Genomic DNA, 24,339 nt, shown 5'->3' on the forward strand with positions numbered 1-24,339 from the left:
TCATACTCCGAATAGGACACCAGTTTCTATTGAGGAGATTGAGGAGTATAGATTAAACAAAGGAAAGGTGCTGAGAACTGAAACATATTTCCTCATACTCTGAATAGGACACCGGTTTCCCTGAAATCAAGTTCTCTACCTCACTGAGAGACAGTTCCAGTAATCCTTTATTAGGGAGATGGGAAAAAAAGACTGTGTGATATTGGCTGCAGGATGGACACTTATATCACTATGACTGAAGGGAGAACCCAGAAACAGACCCACACAAATATGTCCAACATTTTTAACAAAACAGCAAAAGCAATGCAATGGAGGGAAGATAACCTTTTCAACAAATGGTACTAAAGTGATTGGACATCCATAGGAATAAAAAGAAAGAAAGGAAGGAAAGGAGGATGAAAAGAAGGAAGGGAGGGAAGGAAGGAGGGAGGAAGGAAGTAAGGAAGGAAGGAAGGAAGGAAGGAGGCCCGGTGTGGTGGCTAGTGCCTGTAATCTTAGCACTTTGGGAGGCCAAGGTGGGTGGATCCCTTGAGGCCAGAAGTCTGAGACCAGCCTGGCCAAGAAAACCCCACCTGTACTACAAAATACAAAAATTAGCCAGGTGTGGTCGTGCATGCCTGTAATCCCAGCTGCTTGAGAGGCTGAGGCATGAGAATGACTTCAACCCAGGAGGCAGAGGTTGCAATGAGCTAAGATTGTGTCACTGCACTCCAGCCTGGGTGTGGGCAACAGAGTGAGACTGCCAAAAAAAAAAAAAAGGAAAGAAGGAAAGAAAGAAAAAAGAAAGAAAGCAAGAAAGAAAGCAAGAAAGAAAGAAAGAAAGAAAGAAAGAAGAAAGAGAAAAAGAGAGGAAGGGAAAGGAAAGAAAAAAGGAAAAGGAAAGGATAAAGGAAAAGAAAGGAGAAAGAGAGAGAAAGGAAGGAAGGAAGGAGAAAGAGAAAGAAAGAAAGAAAGAGAAACAGAAAGGGAAAGGAAAGGAAAGAAACAAGGAAAAGGAAAAGATAAAGGAAAGGCAAGGAAAAGAGAAAGAAAAAGAAAGAAAGGAAGAAAGAGAAAGAAAGAAGTGAAGGAGGGATGGAGGGAGAAAGAAAGGGAGGGAGACAAGGAGAGAGGGGGATGTCAATCTAAGATTCACATCTTATACAAAAAATAACTCAAAATGGATGATAGACTTGAATTAAAATGTAAAACTATAAAATTTTAGAAAAAATAGAAGAAATGTTTGCAATCTTGGACTAGGCAAAAAGTCCATATACTTGACACCAAAAGCACAATATATTAAAAGAAGATTGATAAACTGGACTTCACCAAAATGGAAAACCTTTGCTCAGTGAAAGACGCTTTTAAGAGGATGAAGAGACAAGCTGCAGACTGTTAAGAAAATATTTACAGATCACATATCCAATGAAGGGCTAGTATCTAGTATGTATAATGAACTCTCAAAACTTAACAGTCAAAAAAACAGACAATCTAATTAGAAAATGGGCAAAAAATCATTTTTAATTAGTGGAGTATAACATAGTATAAAAATTTTGAATAGACCTTATGTGCAGCCATTGCATTGTTAGTATTTTATAATATTGTGTGGTTTTGGTTCTTGGCGCTGTCTTAATCCCTTCAGGCTGCTATAACAAAATACTGCAAACTGAAGGGCTTAAAAACAACAGAAATGTACTTGTTACAGATCTGGAGGCTGGAAAGTCCAAGAGCAAGACGCCAACAGATGTGGTGTCTTGTGAGGGTCTGCTCTGTGATTCATAGGTGGCACCTTCTGGCTGTCCTCACAGGGTGTAAGGACTAACTAACTCTATGAATCTCTTCTGGGGCTCTAAGGACACTAATCCCAATCATTAGCCTAGGCCCTCGTGGCCTAATTACCTCCCCAAATCCCCATCTCCTAATATTATCACCTGGAGAGTTAAGATTTCAACATATTAATTTGCAGGGACAGCAGAGAGTTCAGCTGGGAGCCAAGGAGGGGGCCGAGGAACATGCCTCTTCAGGCGGTAAACTCACAGATGGCCAGGAAGCAGGAAGTGCAGGAGATGTCATTCCAGAGCCTGTCCTTCAGGAGAATCATGCGGTCCTACCCTGAGCCGTGGTCATTTGGCTCATCCTTCTTCCAGTTGCTGTAGGTCAGCCTCCCACCCGTCAAGTATATGAACTGGCCTTCAGTTGCCTCATCTGTGATGCCCAGGAAGGCAGTGTCTTTGGCCACATCCTGGATGGCCTTATTCTCCTTGGCATTCTTGGGGGCAGCCACTGTGGCCTGGAGCCCAGCACACAGAGCCTTCACTTTGGAGAAAGGCATCCGCTCACCGTTGGTCATGAAAAGCTTCTTCCCAGACATTTTCCCCAAGGAGAAGGCTTACACTGAAACCACAAATGGTGAGTGAGGCTGGCTGGGTTTGGAGCCCAGCACAGGACAGTAGGCAAGCAGTCTGAGTTCCCTGGGAAGCCAGACCTCTGAAAAATCACCCTATGCCCAGCAGTTCAGGCCAGAGCCTGGTCAGGAAGTAAGCCTCAGCTGCAGAGCCTGGGAAGGGGCATCCAGACTCCTGCAGACAGCCCAGACTCCCCTGGGTATCCCACCTTGAAAAAGCATCTGCTAAAACCTGCCCCAGCACAGGTACACATAGGGAGACGGTCTTGGGCCTCACTGCAGGCTTGGGCACCAGGATAAGGAAGAGGCAGGGACAGACATCAGAGCACAGTAGATGACAAGGAAGGAGCACAGACTTTGGAGACAACAGATCTCCATCCAACCCTTCCCCTGCCACTTCCCGGCTGTGTGACCTGAAATGAGTCACTAACACTTCCTGCCCCTCGGTTTCCTCACCTGTCAATAAAGCAAGTTCAACAACCACAACTGAGGTTGCTGAGAGGATTGAATGAAACCATCTTATGGGAAAATGCCACCCAGCACAGGCCCTGGTGTAGGACGAGCGCTCATGAATTAGTTCCCCTCCCACCTCCTCCAAATCTAGGGTGCGCTGAAGAAAAGAGTGAGAGCCAAGAACACATTATGGGCAGAGAGAAAGCTCACACTTCTTCGTGTGGTCCAGTTCTGATCTCAGGCTCTGTAGCTCTCCAAGTTGGCCAGCTTAGCCTCAGCAACTGCAACGCAATAGGGAGAAGGTATTTATGGAGAAGACCTTAATTTGGAGAGTGGAGCATTTTGAAAAAAATGAAGTGGCTTACTAAGACGAATGCTTATTCCAGGAAAATAAGAATGCAGAAGAAATAAAAAGGGGAAAATGACTACATTCCTCCTTCCCAGCTATACCTCCGCATCCCTTCACAACCTGGAACTTCAGTCCTGGACCCCCGTCTCCACATACGGCTTGCATATTGTCATATTGTAAGAATTCATAAGAAAATACTCAACTCATTACTCTTCTTTCTGAAAACTTTTCTTTGTCATTCATTTTCATTTCTCATTCCAGATACACTTTTTAATACCTTTATTGTTTTGACAGGCTGGTAGACAAATATGAATAAGTGGGTTGTCATTGTTCTTTTGTTCTTACTGAATTTGCTCTATTTTACTCTGAACTAAGTTGCTGTGATGTTCTCTGTCAGCCAGGGGTCCTAAGAAGCAGACCATTTTCATGCATTCTTGTGACAATGGACATAAACCCAACCCCTAAAGGGCCTATTTCCTCCCGGGCACCCCAGAGGTGCACACTGGACTGTTTCCGCTGAAGAAAAGCCGGGGCCCATCTGCTAAAGGGCCTGACGAGGGAATAGCCCTACGTGGCTTGAATGTCTGTACCTGGGCACCTATGGGAGTCTCCTCAGGCCCCAGGTAAAGCTGAGAGGGCCGGGGGCACTGGGCCAGGAAGCAGAATTGAGCACCTTCCCACGAGGCAGCAGGAGAAGCAGGAGAAGGGGACCTCCCAGCTGGCCCTCCAGCTCCCCAGGCCCTGGGGCTCCCAGGCCACACATGCTGAGGTATGCCTCTTACCTGAATTGTCCCCATGATCTCCTTTTTGGCTCCTTGGTCCTGGAATTCCAGGAGCCCCTGGGTTTCCTGGGGGCCCCAACTTCCCAGGAGGGCCCTGCAAACCTCTGAGCCCTTGATCTGTTGCAAGACAAAGGGAAGATGACCCAGTGGCCAGCAGTCATTTTTTTTCCAAAAAGCTCAATACTCCATTCATGTTCACCCCCGGAACAGCCAGCAAGCTAATGGTGACCCAAAGAAGAAAGATGCCCCATCCTGCATCCTAGGGGAGGGCCTGCACCAAGGCCAGCTCTCTAACCAGGTGGGACACCCCTCTGTAGGGACAACCACACATCCCCAATTCCTGTGTGGAAATATGGGATCCCAGAGAGTCAGCGAGCAGCTTTGTTTTAGAGGCAATGGCATTTTACAGGGATTGTTCTGAGTGTAGCATGGGTCCTGATGAAAGGGGAGCCTCCCCAAGTCTGTACTCAAACCCTCATTTGGAGGAGACACCTGCTGGAGGTGGAGATTCAGAAAGACACAGACCAAACCTGGATCTCCCTTTTCCCCACTGGGTCCGTCTCACCCATCTCTGCCTGGGATGCATTGGGTCTCCAGCACAGCGCTAGGCAGCTCTCTACATTAGTGTCCTCACCCCATCCTGCACTGCTCCCTCCCAGGCATTTGTCTCCACAGCTAAGCACCTCTGAGCCTCCAGAGTCACAGGTTCTTAGGGTAGCTTTCTCCAGATATTTATTTCCAGAAAAAGCATGCATAGATCTTCCACCAGACAAACGCATGCACACACACACACACGCACACACACACGTACAGGGACACACACACAGATGCACGTGCACATACCTTTGTATCAGTTCAATCGACTACTTCCATTTGTGTTTCGTTTATTGCAGGGCCAGGGTGAGAGACTAAAGACCCCCAGCACTGAGTCACCTCCTTCCTCTCCGCTCATTTAGAACCTTTGCAAATGTCTTGTTTGGGCATCTCACCAGGCCAGGCACAAGGAGAAGGGGTATTTGCAGATGACTTCAATCCACAGCTGAATGTGGGCATTGGCACCTGCTGTTCCCTCTGCCTGGACATGTCCCTGCATCTCTGCATGCTTATTTGTTGTCACTCAGCTTTCAGCTTAAATATTATCTCTGGAGAAAGGTCTTTGCTAACCCGGTAATTTTAAGTAGTCACTCTGTCAGTGAGTTGTAATTCTCTGTTCTAATTTTCTGCCGATTGCTGCTTCCATGTGGGTCTGTTTTGTTTATTTGGTTGCATATTGATTGATCACCCACCCCACCCCTGTAGAACGAGAAGCTCATGAGAACAGGGGTCTTGTTCCCCAGCTGTTCTTTCTCCACCAAGAAGAGTGCCTGGAAACAGAGTCAATACTCAATAAACATTTATGGAACAAATGAATCCTCCAGCAGTGTGTCCTCAAATCAGCCCTCTTCTCTCTGGCTGGAGCTACCATCTGTGCCCCCTTTACCAGTGATCTCACTTTTCTATTCTCAGTTCACCTCTCTGTCCCCAGGGTGCAAACCAGGGCTGGGCACACAGGAGGACTGGGTGCGAGGGAGAGGAGAAAGGCAGAGACCTCAAGCAGACACCAGACCATCTGTGCTCGTCCAGGCCTGAGTTTCCAGAAGCGTCCAGTTCTTGTCGCCAGAGCCTAGTCAAGCTGCCCAGGTCCCGGATACGATCTTTGATGCTTGCCTTCCTCCAAACTCACACCCATTCTTTGAAACACTTCATGTCACCAAACAGCTTGAGAAGTTTGTTTTTCCCAGGTGGGGAGTGGGGTGGGTCACTTCCCTGTGACTCTGCCTTGTGATAGGCATTTTGGCTTCTCAAGGGTCCTCACCCTTGTGTACTCATGTCATCAGGCCCTGTCCAGCGGCCCTCCCGGTTCCCATTCAGGGGGCCTGCCAGGCACCAAGAGGTGCTTCCGTGGTAAAGAAGATCCCTCTCAAGGCTGTGTCTCCTGATGCCATTGACACAATGTTGAAGAGCCCATAGGCCCAGAGGACAAAGGACTTTCAATTCGCTCAGCAAATAGGCAGACCTCTGAGGAAGGTGGGAATGTGAAACTGACAGATTTGCGTTGAACCAGTATGCTAACTGTGCTGCAGAGTTAGAGAAAGGGTGGTTTGAGCGGGAAGAGGGTAGACAGGAAGTAAATACACCTAGGAGCAAAGGAACCTGAGAAAGCCTGGATTCTGGAGGGGATAAGATTATCCCCCAAGGATGTGTACCCATAGGTCTGTCCTCTCATAGACCTGGGGATGAATTTATGTTGCTATTACGACTATTACAGAATTCTGCTATTTATGCCAAGATGAAAAATTATGTTTCCAGTGTCTCAGCGTGGCATGATCTCCCGCACTGTGGAGACATAAACGCAGTGGAGAATCACACCCGTAGCCCAGGCACCTCAGTGGTGTCTCAGATGGAGGCCAGGCAGATTTGAGTTCACCATGGGACAATTACCAAATATAGTAGGGGACAAACAGAGTGAGAGCTGATAGATATGACAAACCTCAGAAATAGCCCTACAAGGAGTGTGGACCCTACCTGACAGATAAATTAATATGCACTTCAAAAGAGGGTATAATGAAGGAATGAATGAAAATTATATAATTAAATTAATAAACAAAAATAACTATAGAGCTAATAAAATAGAATACTGGTTCTTTGTAAGAGACATAAACTTAGCAGATATGGCCATGGTAGTTTGGGTTGTTTCCTCCATGTTGTAAAATTACATCTCAGGCCCTTTGCCATAGGACTTCACAAAGGCTCCCACTGGAGTGTGAGGAGTAAACACTCCAGCCCCTTTGCTGTTTGGTGTGGCCATGTGACCCTGAGCTGAAACGAAGGGAGCAGCAGCTTAACGTGTGCTTACAGGTTTGCTATGGCCTTTGTGTTTCTTTCCCAATCATGAGAAGTATGTATCCCTGGAAAGTGATATGGAACAGTCATGAATTCACCTGAAAGTCTGGAGTCCAGCTGACTGCTGCTGAATCCAGGCCCACTCAGCTGAAATCAGCCAAAGCTCAACAAACTGGAAGATCCAGAGCAGAAAATAAAACGTTTACTGTTGTAAGCTCTTGAGAGGGAAATTTACTGTTGTGTTAGCTGACTGATACAATATCAATGATTAATAGAAAAGGTATAAGAAATTAACAAATCAGCCCAGGCACAGTGGTTCACTCCTGTAATCCCAGCACTTTGGGAGGCCGAGGCAGGCAGATCACCTGAGGTCAGGAGTTCAAGACCAGCCTGGCAAACATGGTGAAACCCCATCTCTACTAAAAATACAAAAATTAACTGGACATGGTGGTGCATGCCTGTAATCCCAGCTACTTGGGAGGCTGAGGCAGGAGAATTGCTTGAATCTGGGAGGGAAAGTTGCAGTGAGCCGAGATCGTGCCACTGTACTCCAGCCTGGGCTACAGAACGAGACTCCATCTCAAACAAACAAACAAACAACAACAACAACAAACAAATCAGGGGGAAAAGGGATTATTATACTAGTACAGATAGTACTGACATTATAAAATCACACTATGTACAGTTAATTTTATAGCAACATATGGAAAATTGGTAAAATCTATATTATAAGAAAGTTTAGTATTATTTAAGTTGGCTCAAGAATAACTGATATATCAGAGTAATTGATATATCACTAATCATAAAATATAGAAATGGAAGTCAAAAATTAACAACCATACCTCCATCAACAAAATGGTTTTAAGGTGAGTTGTATCAAATCTTCAGAGAAGAAATTACTACTCTCTTATAGAAATGGCTTGTATCCAAAATACTACTTAGCTGAGATGATTAGCTGAACATGTAATTCAGAATGGATAAGGATTGAAGAAAAGAAGGGAACTTTTAGAAAATCTAATTTATAAGCAGAGAGGCAAAAACACAATTTAAAAAATAACTATTAAAAGTGCTGGGATTACAGTCATGAGCCACTGTGCCTGGGCTGATCTGTTAATTTCTTATACCTTTTGTATTAATCATTGATATTGTATCAGTCAGCTAACACAACAGTAAATTTCCCTCTCAAGCGCTTACAACAGTAAAGTCCAGCCCTGTATTCATGGTTAATAGCAGTCTCTGGAATCTGACTTCCTACATTCATTGGCCCAAGAACTAGCTGCATAATATTTGGCAAATCACTTTAACCTCTATATCCCTTGACATTCTTATTTGTAAATAGGGGAGAATAATAACATCTGTAAAATAGGGTTAATAAGTTTAACTAGTATAGTGCCTGGCCCATAGGATGTGTGATGAGCATATATAGCATCAGACCAAGTCGGGTATATCCAAGGGATGCAAGGATGGCACAACATCAAAAAATAAATCGATGCAAATCACAGTTTAATAAATAACAGGTTTTATTAAGAGCCTAATTCAGATCCGTGCAATCTTGAAGCTTGAAGCCTGTTCCCAAAACTAGTACATGGTCTGAAAATTCTTCATACATTTTTTTCCCAGACTCCTGTAATGCAAACTTTCTAGGGTTGATTTCAAACACAGTCCAAACAGATGACATTGTCCTCCAGTTTTGTCATTTCACCACTCAGGCCATAGAGTTGTGGCTCAGATTGAAGCTGTTGCTTCTTGAAGTGAAGGGTGTGCAGTGGCCTGCTCTCTTATTTCTTTGCATGTGCAGGGGGTAGAGAGAATGCTGTTGGTGCCAATGTTGGGCAATATCTGCTCACAAGAGGAACCACATGTCAGTAGGTACACTACTGCCTCTCAGCCCACACTGACTGGTTGTTGGGGACCTTTGTGTGACTGATTACAAATGACAGCTCCTTTCAGCAGCTGGTTCTTCAGGAAAGAGACTCAATGATTGCCTCTAGCTGCATGTCCCTTACCCTCACCATTGCACCAGTACACATTTCAGTCCATAATATCTTGTTGCTGGGATCCCTGAGTTCCAGGAAGCAACTTGCTCATGAGTAGGGTGTGAACCCCAGGCAGCTCCTGTGATACTGGCATTCACACAGCCCCCTAGGAGACTCAGTCCACGGTGCTGCAATCCACATTGCCCCAGAACACTCCTGGTCACAGCTTTGTCCTTCCTCCTCTTCTCCCCATGCTCCATAAAATCAGTCCATCTGCTGGGTCCAAATGTCAGAATTTTACAAGAGATAACCAAAACAGTGCATTTGGTGCAGCACACCAACATGGCATATGTATACATATGTAACAAACCTGCACGTTGTGCACATGTACCCTAAAACTTAAAGCATAATAATAATAAAAATAGAACTAGAGAAGCAAGAGCAAACACATTCAAAAGCTAGCAGAAGTCAAGAAACAACTAAGATCAGAGCAGAAATGAAGGAGATAGAGACACAAAAAACCCTTCAAAAAATCAATGAATCCAGGAGCTGGTTTTTTGAAAAGATCAACAAAATAGATAGACCACTAGCAAGACTAATAAAGAAGAAAAGAGAGAAGAATCAAATAAATGCAATAAAAATTATAAAAGGGATATCACCACCGATCTCACAGAAATACAAACTACCATCAGAGAATACTATAAACACCTCTACGCAAATAAACTAGAAAATCTAAAAGAAATAGATAAATTCTTGGACACATACACCCTCCCAAGACTAAACCAGTAAGAAGTTGAATCTCTGAATCGACCAATAACAGGCTCTGAAATTGAGGCAATAATTAATAGCCTACCAACCAAAAAAAGTCCAGGACCAGATAGATTCACAGCCGAATTCTACCACAGGTACAAAGGGGAGCTGGTACCATTCCTTCTGAAACTATTTCAATCAATAGAAAAAGAAGGAATCCTCCCTAGCTCATTTTGTGAGGCCAGCATCATCCTGATACCAAAGCCTGGTAGAGACACACACACACAAAAGAGAATTTTAGGCCAATATCCCTGATGAACATTGATGCAAAAATCCTCAATAAAATCCTGGAAAACTGAATCCAGCAGCACATCAAAAAGCTTATCCACTATGATCAAGTCGGCTTCATCCCTGGGATGCAAGGCTGGTTCAACATATGCAAATCAATAAACATAATCCATCACATAAACAGAACCAATGACAAAAATCACATGTTTATCTCAATAGATTCAGAAAAAGCCTTCAACAAAAACAGCCCTTCATGCTAAAAACTCTCAATAAACTAGGTATTGATGGAATGTATCTCAAAATAATAAGAGTTATTTATGACAAACCCACAGCCAATATCATACTGAATGGGCAAAAACTGGAAGCATTCCCTTTGAAAACTGGCACAAGACAAGCTTGCCCTCTCTCAGTACTCCTATTCAACATAGTGTTGGAAATTCTGGCCAGGGCAATCAGGCAAGAGGAAGAAATAAAGGGTATTCAATTAGGAAAAGACGAAGTCAAATTGTCTCTGTTTGCAGATGACATGATTGCATATTTAGAAAACCCCATTGTCTCAGCCCAAAATCTCCTTAAGCTGATGAGCAACTTCAGCAAAGTCTCAGGATACAAAATCAATGTGCAAAAATCACAAGCATTCCTATACGTCAATAATAGAGAGGCAAATCATGAGTGAATTCCCATTCACAATTATTACAAAGAGAACAAAATACCTAGGAATCCAACTTACAGATGATGTGAAGGACCTCTTCAAGGAGAACTACAAACCACTTCTCAACAAAATAAAAGAGGACACAAACAAATGGAAGAACATTCCATGCTCCTGGATAGGAAGAATCAATATCGTGAAAATGGACACACTGCCCAAAGTAACTTATAGATTCAATGCTATCCCCATCAAGCTACCACTGACTTTCTTCACAGAATTGGAAAAAACTACTTTAAGTTCATATGGAACAAAAAAAGAGAAGGCATTGCCAAGACAATCCTAAGCAAAAAGAACAAAGCTGGAGGCATCATGCTACCAGACTTCAAACTATACTACAAGGCTACAGTAACCACAACAGCATGGTACTGGTACCAAAACAGATAGATAGACCAATGGAACAGAGCAAAGACCGCAGAAATAACACCACATATCTACAATCATCTGATCTTTGATATGCCTGACAAAAACAAGCAATGGGGAAAGGATTCCCTATTTAATAAATGGTGCTGGGAAAACTGGCTAGCCATATGTAGAAAGCCGAAACTGGATCCCTTCCTTATACTATACAAAAATTAACTCAAGATGGATTAAAGGCTTAAATGTGAGACCTAACACCATAAAAACCCTAGAAGAAATCCTAGGCAATACCATTCAGGACATAGGCATGGACAAAGACTTCATGACTAAAACACCAAAAGCAATGGCAACAAAAGCCAAAATTGACTGACAGATGGGATCTAATTAAACTAAAAAGCTTCTGCATGGCAAAAGAAGCTATCATCACAGTGAACAGGCAACCTACAGAATGGGAGAAAATTTTTGCAATCTACCCATCTGACAAAGGGCTAGTATCCAGAATCTACAAAGAACTTAAACAAGTTTACAAGAAAAAAACAAACAACCCCATCAAAAAGTGGGCAAAGGATATAAATGGACACTTCTCAAAAGAAGACATTTATGCAGCCAACAGACATATGCAAAAATGCTCATCATCACTGGTCATCAGAGAAATGCAAGTCAAAACCACAATGAGATACCATCTCATGCCAGTTAGAATGGTGATCATTAAAAAGTTAGGAAACAACAGGTGCTGGAGAGGATGTGGAGACACAGGAATGCTTTTACACTGTTGATGGGAGTGTAAATTAGTTCAACCATTGTGGAAGACAGTGTGGCGATTCCTCAAGGATCTAGAACTAGAAATACCATTTGACCCAGCAATCCCATTACTGGGCATATACCCAAAGGATTATAAATCATGCTACTATAAAGACACATGCACACATATGTTTATTGCAGCACCATTCGCAATAGCAAAGACTTAGAACCAACCCAAATGTCAATCAATGATAGACTGGATTAAGAAAATGTGGTGCATATGCAACATGGAATACTATGCAGCCATAAAAAAGGATGAGTTCATTTCCTTTGCAGGGACATGGATGAAGCTGGAAACCATCATTCTGAGCAAGCTATCACAAGGACAGAAAACCAAACACCGCATGTTCTCACTCATAGGTGGGAGTTGAACAATGAGAACACATGGACACAATGTGGGGAACGTCACACACTGGGGCCGGTTGCGGGGTGGGGGCCTGGTGGAGGGATAGCATTAGGAGAAATACCTAATGTAAATGACGAGTTGAGGGGTGCAGCAAACCAACATGGCACATGTATACCTATGTAACAAACCTGCACGTTGTGCTCCTGTACCCTAGAACTTAAAGTATAATAAAATATATATACATATAACAGAATCAGTTATATTAGAAGTATTGGGGGAAAATGAGAATCCAAAAGATGGTTGGGTATAAGATCAACAAACAGAAATTAAGAGTTTTTTTTTTAACAAATCAGCAATAATTAATTTAAAATCTAATAAAAATAGTAACAATAGCAAATAAAAGCATAAAGAAAGTAAAAATAATACTAATAAGAAACAAGAAGATATCAATTTTCAGAGGCTTGAAGTATTTGTCTATAAAATTGGGACTATACACGGTCCTGGATTTTTGATGGTTTGACTTACAATTTATCAACTTTACAATGGTTCAAAAGTGATGTGAATTCAGTAGAAGCCACACTTCGAGTACACATACAATTATTCATTCACTTCCAGTACAGTATTCAATAAAGTCCATGAGATAGTCAATACCTTATTATAAAATAGGCCATGTATTAGATGATTTTGCCCAGCTGCAGGCTAATGTAGTGTTCTGGGCATGTTTAAGGTAGTTTAAGTTAAGCTATGATTTTTGATAGGTTAGGTGTATTAAATGCATTCCCAACTTATGATATTTTCATCTTACACTGTATTTATCATGATATAACCCTATCATAAGTCAAGGAATATCTGTATATCCTTCTTCTTCTTTTTAAAATAATTTGGGGGAGGCCTCAATAATTTGTGTGCTGCATCCTAAGTGCATGCAGAATGGTGATCAGATTAAAATTTTTCATTCATAAAAGACTGAGAAATTGTTCCCCTTATTCTCATTGGTTTTCTGAGTGTTGATTCAGAGCTTCCTTCCACCCAAGAAAAGCATAAATGCCAAAGAAGAGTGTTCACAGGCGTTGAGGGTGGAGAAGTGGGAGCCTTTCTGGGACAGTGTTACAGGAGAGAAGTGGGAGGTGGGACACATATGTAGCTGCCTCCTCAAGCAAGTAGGGACATGGTCTCATTCCTGCACAGCCCTGGGGTATGGGAGTGTGGTCCCATTCCATGCTGACCTGAAATTAGGATGACTCACTGAGGCCTGGGACTGAGCCCTGAGTACCACCATCACTGCTGGGCTGCAGAAATCATTCAGGTAGCTGTGTGGAGGACAGAAGGCATGGTATCCCCACCCACAAATGGACCATGTGGATTCATGATGCCCATGTGTTCTTCCAAATGGTGTCTGTAGCTCCCCATTCTCCTGCACCATCTCAGGGAGGAGAGCAGTTGGCCCCTCCCATCAAACAAAGAAAGCACATCTTGAGATTGAATTTTCCAATCTTGAGGAAAGTGGGGGCTCAGAGCCAGGGTTCATTTGACTTACAAAAATACAGAAATGTGATATTTCTTGGAACCAGAACAGAGGAAACACATATGAAAATATTGACGATTTATTACATACATTTAAGTCTTCTTTGTTCAGCTCAGGGCTGGGGTGGCTGGGAGTATGAGCTTCAGATCCAGGAAGATTGGTTTGGATCCAGCCTCTGCCACTTGCTCTCTAGAATAATACTCAAAACATTTCACTCCTCCAAGCTTCAGTGTCCTTATAAAAAAAATGGGGAAAACAATACTGGCCCCATGACATTGTGTGAAGATTGAATAATACGTAATAAGCTATATTAGAATTGCTTGTCAAGGTGTGTGGCACATGGTATGTGCTCAGTCAATAGCCTCTGTGTGTAGTAACGGCTCTGGTGGTAATTTTGCTAGCTGAGGGTAATGGTAATAATTGTGACAACAACAAGTATTTTATCCCCATTTTATAGATGAAGACATAGGCTCAGGGAAAAAAATCCCCAAGAGTCACCAGTTAGCTTGCCTACCTCAAGACACATCCTAAGACCTGGCCCATGTTAATTTTAATGATTATCTGGGTGAATAGATTAATGAAAGGGGAAAGTGGAGCCGGTGGTGTGGGGGGTGGTGTGAATGCCCACTGAAGTCTCAAGTAGGGTGCAGATTCGTCCATCAGCAGAAAATTACTTGGATCACGTCTGCAGTGGGGGGCTCTTCCCTAGAGGCATAGGCCAGCTGCCTTCAGGTCAGGGGACTGAGTTGGCATCCAAAGACTCAAAGGAGTGAATCGTACATGTCAGTCACAGGGTTGGCTTGGGCACCACCATTCTGGGGCACCACTGGGCCCTCTGACCACCTGGAGAGCCTGACCAGGCCTGCCACAGAGACCTCAGAGTGCCAGAGAATCTCCACTGTGTCCTTAGCTCCACACAGTTAGGACTTCTCTGAAGTCTGCCTCTCTCTGTCATTATGCTTGGCTGGGACTGCTCATCCTGATGGCACTGGGCTGCAGAGGGAGAGCTAAGGGCACCAGGAAGCAGGCACTCTGTGTGACTTCGGAGGGTCCTTCTACCCCAAGACCTCACTGCTACCATCTGTAAGTGAAGGAACTGGACCAGATAGAGAATAAGGAGGGTTGCATCTCATGCCAAAGGCAAAGGTTAGGAGTGGCTGCCTGGGGTGCAGTGCTGGGAGGGTTTGCAAGGGGAGTGTCAAGGCTGGTCAGTGATTATGGGGAAGAGTCAGGGCCCATCAGGGGAATGAAGTAGCTAAGGGTGCCTCCAGCTCTAATAGCCACAAGTGAATTCTGTTGAAAGGGAGTTTCAGCATCTCACAAACCAAGTGGAGCTTCAGGATGGAGGCTGAAGGCCAGACAGGATCCTCCCTGTCCTGTGGCATAAATTCCTCTCAGAACTCACAGATGATCAGTCAGTACCGCAGGCAGCTCCTGTCATTCCACTGTGTACATCTCCAAGCACTTCTCATTGCCCTGACCTATGAGCTCCCCTGGGCACCGGTTCGTGTAGTCCACAGGGGCCTCATCTAGGTAGCAGAAGTCTCCAGGGCTGGGACCCTTGGCCAGGGCCATGTAGGCATACATGTTGTACTTCTTCAAAAATCTTGCAATGGCCTCGTTTTCCTCTGGACTCCTAGGGACAGCAATGCAGCTGCCTGCTCTGGCACATGCCTCACTAATGGCATCTAAATAGACCAACTGCCTGTTTGTGAAGAAGACCTTCTCTCCCACTGCCGGTATGGAGCCCTGAAGACTGAGGGCTGAGAGCAGAGGAGTCTGGGTCAGGCCTCTGATCACTTTGTCTCTAAGCCACCTCCCTCACCTGGGCTGTCTGCCATCAGGCTCTCTGCAGCCTCTCCATCTCTGCCTCTGTGTCGTTTGTCCCTCCCCCAATCCTAGTTTTCCAAATTCTCTTCTAGGCTCTCATCCATTTATTCATTAATCTATTTAACAATTACTTATTGCCAGAAATGGTGCAATTTTCTGGGATTCAATAGAAAGCAAGATTAGGCAGAGACCTTGCTTTCCTAAGTCATTAGGAGTGGATCGTGTATACTTCTGTCATCTCTGGGCCATTCAGAAACATCAGAAAAGGCAACCATCATTCCTTTCCGAAGACCTGAATGTCCACACTCTTCTCTTCATCAAAAGGATATGACAACTGTAAATATATATGCACCCAACACCAGAACACCAAGATAAAAACAAATATTATTAGATGTAAAAGGAGAGACAGACTCCAATACAATAATAATTGGGGACTTCAACAGTTTACTCTCTGCAGTGTTAGATCATTTAGACAGAACATCAACAAAAAAAAGTTGGTTTAAACTGTGTTGCAGACCAAACGGACCTAACAGACATTTGCAGAATATTTCATCTGACAGCTACAGAATACCCATTCTTCTTATCAGCACATGGAACATTCTCCAGGATACATTGTTTTAGGCTACAAAGTAAGAATCAATGAATGAAAATATTAAAATGATATCAAGAACTTTTTTGACCACAATGGAGTAAGAAGGAAATTTAAAAATTTCTCAAAACAAATGAAAATGGAAGCACAACATACCAAAACCTATGGTAGACAACACAAGCAGTGGTAAGAGGGAAATTTATAACATTACATGCCTACATCAGAAAAGTAGAAAGATTTCAGATAAAAACTAAAATGCATCTTAAGGAACTAGAAAAGCAAGAAAAAAGCCAAACCCCAAATTAGTAAAAAGAGAGAAATTTTAAAAGTTGGAGCAGAGGCTGGGCGCTGTGGCTCACACCTGTAATCCCAGCACTTTGGGAGGCCATGGTGAGTGGATCACCTGATGTCGGGAGTTTGAGACCAGCCTGACCAACATGTTGAAACCCTGTCTCTACTAAAAATACAAAAAAATTAGCTGGACATGGTGGCGGACACCTGTAATCCCAGCTACTCCTGAGGCTGAGGCAGGAGAATCGCTTGAACCCGGTAAGCAGAGGTTATGGTGAGCCAAAATTGGACCATTGTACTCCAGTCTGGGCAACACAGTGAGACTCCATCTCAAAAAAAAAAAAAAAAAAAGGAGTGGAAATAAACAAAAAGTAGAGTAAAAAAGTAGTACAAAATATCAACAAAATGAAAAGTTGGGGAATTTTTTGTTTGTTTGTTTGAGACAAGATCTTGCACTGTCACCCAGGATGGAGTGCAGTGGCATGATCATGGCTCACTGCAGCCTTCAACTCCTGTGCTCAAGTGATCCTCTTGCTTCAGTCTTCTGAGTAGCTGGTACTACAGGCATGTGTCATCACACAAGGCTAAGATTTTTTTTTTAGTTTTTCAAAGACAAGTTTTTGCTGTGTTTCCCAGGCTGGTCTCAAACTCCTGGCCTCAAATGATCCTTCTGCTTTAACCTCAGTGCTGGAATTACATGCATGAGGCACGATGCCCAGCTGAAAAGTTGGGTTTGTGAACAAATAAACATAATTCGCAAACCATTAGCTAGAAAATGTAAGAAAAAAAGAGAGAAGACCTATACAAAAATCAGAAACAAGAAAGGAGACATTATAACTGATACCACAGAAAGACAAAGGATCATTAAAGACTTCTATAAACAACTATGTATCAACAAATGGGAAAGCCTAGGGGAAATGGATAAATTTCTGGATTCATACAACCTACTAAGATGAAACCAGGAAGAAATGGAAAGCCTGAACAACTAGAAATGAGTAATGAGGTTTAATCAGTAACAAAAATCTCCCATCAAAGAAAACTCTGGGACTGGAAGGCTTCACTGCTGAATTCTACCAAACTTTTAAAGAAGAAATAACACCAATTATTTTCAAGCTATTTAAGAAAATTGAAGGGGGAGAAATTCTTCCAAACTCATTCCATGGGGCTACCATTATCCTGATACCAAAACCAGACAAAGACACAACGTTACCACAACACCAGGGGTTCAGTCTAAGTCCCGCTGCTCGCCACACTGAAAACCAATCACTGAGACAATGAGCATTGCCAAGGAAAAGGGCTTCAATTGAGTTCTGCTGCCAAAGAGATGGGTGATCAGTCTCAAATCCATCTCCCTGACCTGCTAAAATTAGGTTATATAGCAGTGAAGAAATGTAACCATGTGTGGGATAACAGGAATCAGGGAGGGCTAAAAAAGAGGAGTGGTCAACAGGAAGCAGGTGGTCAGTTAAGCAGTCATGACAGGTAATAAGTCTGATGTCTCATCCAAATGCAGTGATCTGGTGAGTTTCAACTCCTTAATACTGTCTGGGAGAGCTGATGGTTGTTTTCCCAAGAAAGGAACTCAGATAAGATAAACGTAACTTTTTCAAGTTTTTAAGACTAGGAGGATCAGTTTCTATGCTTATTCAAAGAAACTATAAACATCAACTCTATGAGACAACTGGATAGGTTTTCAGGGTTCAACTTAGGTAAATCAATTAATGTGATACATTTTACATCAACAGAATGAAGGAGAAAACTACGTAATCATCTCAACAGATGCAGAAAAAGCATTTGAAAAAATTTAACATCCTTTATCATAAAAATGCTCAACAAATCAGGTGTAGAAGGAATGTATTTCAAAACAGTTAAGGCCATATATGACAAATGCACAGCTACCATCATACTGAATGGGGAAAATTTTAAAGCTTTTCCTCTAAGATCTTGTACAAGACAAGGATGCCCACTTTCACTACTCTTATTCAAGATAGTATTAGAAATTCAAGCCAGGGCAACCAGTCAAGAGAAAGAAATAAAGAGTATCCAAATTGGAAAGGAGGAAATAAAATTATCCCTGTTTGCAGACAACACAATCTTGTATATAGAAAATTCTAAGTACTCCACCAAAAAACACTTAAATCTAGTAAATGAATTCAGTAAAGTTGCAAAATACAAAATCAACATGCAAAAATCAGTAGCATTTCTATAAATCAATAATGGGCTAGCTGAGAAAGAAATAAAAAAATCAGTCCGATTTACAATGGCTACAAAAAGTGAAATATCTAGGAGTAAGTTGAATGAAGGAGTGAAGAATCTCTACTAGGAAAACTATAAAACACTGAAGAAAAAAACTGAAGAGGATACAAAAAAACAGAAAACACTAAAGAAAAAGAACTGAAGAGGATACAAAAAAATGGAAAGACATCTCATGTTCAAAGCTTGGAAGAATTAATATTGATAAAAATGACCTTACTACCCAAAGTGATCTACAGATTCAATGCCATCCCTATTAAAATACCGATGACATTCTTCACAGAACAAGAAAAAATAATCCTGGACAGGTGTGGTGGCTCACGCCTATAATCCTAGCACTTGGGAGGCTGAGGCAGAAGGATTGCTTGAGGTCAAAAATTCAAGACCAACCTGGCCAACATAGCGAGACCCCATGTGTTGCAGGAAGTCAGGGACCCCGAACGGAGGGACCGGCTGAAGCCATGGCAGAAGAACATAAATTGTGAAGATTTCATGGACATTTATTACTTCCGCAATCAATACTCTTGTGATTTCCTATGCCTGTCTTTACTTTAATCTCTTAATCTCGTCGTCTTTGTAAATTGAGGATGTATATCCCCTCAGGACCATGTGATGATTGCATTGACTGCACAAATTGTTTGTAGAGCATGTGTGTTTGAACAATATGAAATCTGGGAACCTTAAGATCAGGGTAACAGCGATTTTCAGGGAACAAGGGAGATAACCTTAAAGTCTGGCTGCCTGTGGGCTGGGCAGGACAGAGCCATATTTCTCTTATTACCGAAAACGGATAAGATAAATATAACTGAATTATTTCGGTAAGGAATATTAATAATTTACTGCCCTGGGAAAAGAATGCATTCCCGGGGGGGCCTCTAAAATGGCCGCCCTGAGAATGTCTGCCTTATGCAGATGTAGATAGGGATGAAACACGCCCTAGTCTCCTGCAGCATCCCCAGGCTTGCTAGGATTTAGGAAATTCCAGCCTGGCGAATTCTAGTCAGACCAGTTCTCTGCCCTTGAACCCTGACAATGCGTGCACAGCGGGACATGGAAGTTCATTAGTGATTCTAGTTTTGCCCTGACCTTCTGCCTTGTGATCTTTTGTTGCCCTTGAAGCATGTGATCTCTGTGACCCGCACCCTACTCCTACACTCCCTCACTTTTGAAAATTGCTAATAAAAACTTGCTGCTTTTACAGCTCAGGGGGCATCACAGAACCTGCCAACATGTGATGTCTCCCCCGGACACCCAGCTTTAAAAATTTCTCTTTTGTACTTTTTCCTTTTATTTCTCAGACTGGCCGACACTTAGGGAAAATAGAAAAGGACTCATGTTGAATTATTGGGGGTGGGTTCCCCCGATACCCATGTTTATTTTAAAAAAATGAAAAAGAAAAAAATCATAAAGTTTGTGTGGAACTATAAAACACCAAGTAGTCAAAGTAATCCTGAGCAAAAAATGAAAAGTTGAAGGCATCACATTACCTGACTTCATAATGTACTACAAATCTATGATAACCAAAACAGCATAGTACTCGTATAAAAACAGATGCATAGACCAATGGAACAGAATAGAGAACACAGAAATAAATTTACATATTTATAGCCAACTGATTTCTGGCAATGGCACCAATAACATACATTGGGGGAAAGGACAATAAATGTTCAATAAATGGTGCTGGGAAAACTGAATATTCATATGCAGAAGAATGAAACTAGACCCCTATCTCTTATACATTAAAAAAAAACATGAAATGGATTAAAGCCTTAAACATAAGACCCAAAGGTATGAAACTAGTAGGAAAAAGCATAGGAGAAGTGCTTCAGGATATTGGTCTGGATGAAGATTTTATGGAGAGACCTCAAAAGTACTGGGAACAAAAACCAAAAATAAGCCAATATGGTTATATCAAACTAAAAAGCTTCTGCACAGAAAAGAAAACAATCAACTGAGTGAAGAGACGGCCTGCAGAGTGGGAGAAATATCCACAAGCTATTCATCCAATAAGGGATTAATATCCTGAATATAAAAGGAACTCAAACAATTCCACAGCAAAACATTCAAATAATCCAATTTAAAAATAGGCAAATGATCTGAACAGACACTTCTCAAAAGAAGACATAAAAATGGCCACGTATATAAATGACACTCAATATCTTTATTCCTAAGATAAATGCAAATGAAACCAAAATAAATTATCTCACCCCAGGTAGACTGGCTTTTATCAATAAGACAAAAAAGAATAAATACTGGTGCGGGTGCAGAGAAAAGGGAACTCATACACTGTTGGTGGAAATGGAAAGTACTACAGCCATTATGGAAAGCAAAATGAAGCTTTCTTGAAAACCTAAAACTAGAACTATCATATAATCTAGCAATCCCACTACTGGGTATTCAAAGAAAAGGAACCCAGTATGTTAAAGAGGTATCTACCCTCCTATGTTTATTGCGGAGCTATTCATAATAGCCAAGATATGGAATCAACCTAAGTGTCTATCAGTGAATGAATGGATTTAAAACATGTAGTAACTAAACACAATGGAATACAGTTCATCCATAAGAAAGAATAAAATTCTGCCATTCATAGCAACATGGGTGAGCCATTATGTTAAGTGAAATAAAGCCAGGAAAAGAAAATTAAACACAGCATGTTCTCACTCATTTGTGGATGCTAAGAAAACTTAGTTAATCTCATAGAAGTAAACATAGAACAGTAAGTAAACAGTAGAACAGAATATATTAGAGGCTGGGAAGATTAAGGGGAATGAGAAATGGGAAAGGTGGGGCAATGGGTACAAAATTACAGCTAGATAGGAGAAATGAGTTGTAGCCTTCTTTAGCGCTGTAGGGTGACCATAGCCAACAAAAAAATTATGTATACTTTCAAATAGCTAAAAGAGAGGATTTTGAATGTTATCAACACAAAACAGTAAGTTTTTGAGGTGATGAATATGCTGCTTACCTTGATTTCATCATTGCACGTTACATACATGTATCAAAATAGTCCACTGTGCCCATATGTATGTAAAATAATTGTGTCAAAAATAACATTTTTTAAATTAAAAAGATAGTAAAGAATATATTACCAGAAGTAAAAACAAACAAACTCCAAGAAAAGACTATAGTTACAATTATATCCCTATGTGTCAATCTGAAAAGATGGCTGGCATATGTAAGAGAAAACACTAATTGTAGAACAGTATATGCAGTATGATCTTATTGGTGCAAAGTAAGAGAATGTGTGTGTGTGTGTCTGCACGTGTGTGTTCCTGAGCCTATTTCTTTGAAGACAGTTGCTGCCACCTGCCAGTTTCAATTCCTCCAAGGTGCAGAATGGGAAAACCTCTCTCCCTCTCCTCAAAACCTCAGTAAAGCATGATGTATTTCTCTGGGGTTTGGAAGGTTCAAAATGTTCAGGGCAGAAAGAAGGGTGACAAGGCTGCATTGGCAAAAATGAAAATAAAAACAAGTAATGTGATTTTTAAGGCAAATTGGATGCTATTTCTAGGCAACAGAAATATATTTACAGTGTTATTCTTTTTAAAAATAAAATGGCATTATTAGAGAGGCATCAATGTAATATATATGTATGTAAACATACAGCACACAATATATGTGTGTGTATATATATGTATATAATGCATACACACATATTTGCTTAGTTTGCTGGCTGCCTCAGCAAAGAAAAGCCTCAACTTCCATCCCCTTCATGTGGCTGAGCTGTCCCTTAGATTCTGACATTATAAGCGATTTTGAAATATATCCATGATTAGTAAATTAATTTGTGCATTCCCTTGTCTTCATGTACAGGTAGAATAAGCATGTTCCTCTGACTCTGGGAAGGTTCTAGCAGAGGACTGAGCTGGAAAGAAGATTTCTGGTAATTCTGGCAATCCATGTAACCCCTGTCATCCTCAGCTGACTGAAGTATGGAATGGGGATTTACTCTCTGTACAACTCATAGAGTGCTGTGATGATCCAAAGTGACAGAAAGATCCAGCAGTCACAGACAGCCTCCTCCTACTGCTAGCACCCAGGGCAGCTGGAAAAGGGGGCAGGGGAAGGGTCCCCTGAGCACTAAGAGAGAGGCCTCAAATATGCAGAGAAGCCCATGCACTGTCCTTAGTGCCTGTACATGGCCTCCACTCTGCACCCCTTTGAAACGGGAGAGTCCCCTGATCCCCCTCACAGGATGCATGACAGGGGTGTGGCTCACCTGTTTGGTTGCCCCACTGCTCAAACCCCTAGGGGGAGCATGCAGATGGGCAGGTTCAGAGGCTGGGGTGAGTGCTTTGGGCTCCAGCTGTTCAGTAGAGTCTAGGGATGGGTGCCTGTAATCCTGGTGTTACAAAACTCTTTCAGTTTTGCATACGCAGGTGGCTTGAGTGTTAATCAGCTCAATGGACCCTCTGCCTTATCCTAAGGGCAGAGGGCCTGTGTGACAGCTTTCTGTATCCCAAGCTTTCACCCAGCATCCTGGAAGAATCAGATCACATGTGGGCTTGAAGGATGAGTGCAAGATTTTATTGAGTGGTGGAGGTGGCTCTCAGTGAGATGGATTGGGGACTGGAAAGGGAAATGGAGTGGGAAGGTGATCTTCCCTTGGAGGCGGGCCATCCAGTAGCTGGTATCTTCTCCGATCGCCCCTGGGCAAACTCCCCTCAGTGTTCAGATGTTCCTCCTCTTCTCTCTCTCTCTGCCACGTCGTTCCACTGTCCATCTGCTTGTCTGCTAGTCTGCTGGTCTGCTTCTGGAGCCTGGGGTTCAAGGTTTATATGGTTGCAGGATAGGGGTTGTGGCAGAACAAAAGGCAACTTTTTGGTCATGAAAACAGAAATGTCTTTTCTCATTTAGGGCCACAGGTCTTCAGGCTTGAGGGTGGGGTCTTTGTTGGGGAGTCACCCTTTTTTTACCCAGTGTGTCACTGTCTCCTGTCATTATCATTCCCCTCCTCTGAAGAGGCACATCTAACTGCCTTTAGAATATGGACGATGACAAGTCTTAGCTACTTCCTGCTGACAGGGGGAGTTTTTTTGGGGAAAATGTCAGTCAGATTCCTCCCAGACGTCTATCTAAAGGTCCCTGACAAAAGGGAGCCATCATCTGAGGCTCTGATTGCCTGATCATCTTGAGTTTGATAACCTCTAAGTGAGAGAGGAAAAAAAAAGTTTTATAAGATTAAGTAGGCATGGGTTAAAATTGTGTATTATACAAGGAAAGAATCTAGTGCCAAAGATTACAGAAATAAGAAGTAAAATATACTAATTACCCTGAAAACACTATTGTACCCCGTGGTATAGAACAGAACAAAGGTAAGAACCACAAGCATAGGCAAGACTACAAAGAGGACATACATGAAATGTTAATTAACACTAACCTTTTGTGATTTTTAGTTTGAGTACCCTGATCTCTTCACAATGGTATTTTGGATGCTCCTCTAGGTTGAAAGAGGTGACTCTGTTGGCTTCCCAGGCCTTTACTTGAGTATAATGAATCCAAGAGTCTATTCTGGTGACCTTGACCTTCACCACCACAGGAGTGAAAAGAAGTACAGTGCAAGGTCCCTCCCAACCAGGGCATATTGAGAGAGAAAGGTAAGGAAGTACCTTTACCAGTACTAGGTCCCCTGGGTTGAATAGAGGTGGGCCTGGTTCGTGGGATTGGGCCTTCAACAGTTGTTTCAGTTCCTGTTGGAAATGGACCAAAGAGGTTATGTGCTTAATTAAAACAAAGGTTTCTTGGTCTAGCAAGAAATCATTCATGAGAAAATG

General features: G+C 42.3%; 1 long non-coding RNA gene and 2 pseudogenes across 1 annotated transcript, besides 1 other annotated feature; all 3 read right to left on the reverse strand.

Moving 5' to 3' along the window:
• On the reverse strand, positions 2,006-4,585 carry MBL3P (mannose-binding lectin family member 3, pseudogene; annotated as a pseudogene).
• Positions 3,909-4,408: an enhancer, noted in NCBI's record as "H3K4me1 hESC enhancer chr10:81343957-81344456 (GRCh37/hg19 assembly coordinates)". NCBI's record gives its function as "activates a minimal SCP1, AML or CMV promoter by ChIP-STARR-seq in naive and primed H9 embryonic stem cells {active_cell/tissue: H9 hESC(naive and primed)}" and the evidence as "EXISTENCE:reporter gene assay evidence [ECO:0000049][PMID:30033119]".
• SFTPA3P (surfactant protein A3, pseudogene) lies at positions 13,655-15,365 on the reverse strand (annotated as a pseudogene).
• LOC124902469 (uncharacterized) lies at positions 23,066-24,318 on the reverse strand. Its single transcript, XR_007062215.1, has 2 exons — positions 23,946-24,318; positions 23,066-23,325 (listed from the first exon to the last, which is right to left on the reverse strand). It is a non-coding gene; the product is annotated as an uncharacterized LOC124902469 (long non-coding RNA).
• Between the last annotated feature and the right edge of the window lie 21 nt (positions 24,319-24,339).

The sequence above is a fragment of the Homo sapiens genome, chromosome 10 (assembly GCF_000001405.40).
Source record: "Homo sapiens chromosome 10, GRCh38.p14 Primary Assembly".
In the NCBI taxonomy this organism is placed as follows: Eukaryota; Metazoa; Chordata; class Mammalia; order Primates; family Hominidae; genus Homo; species Homo sapiens.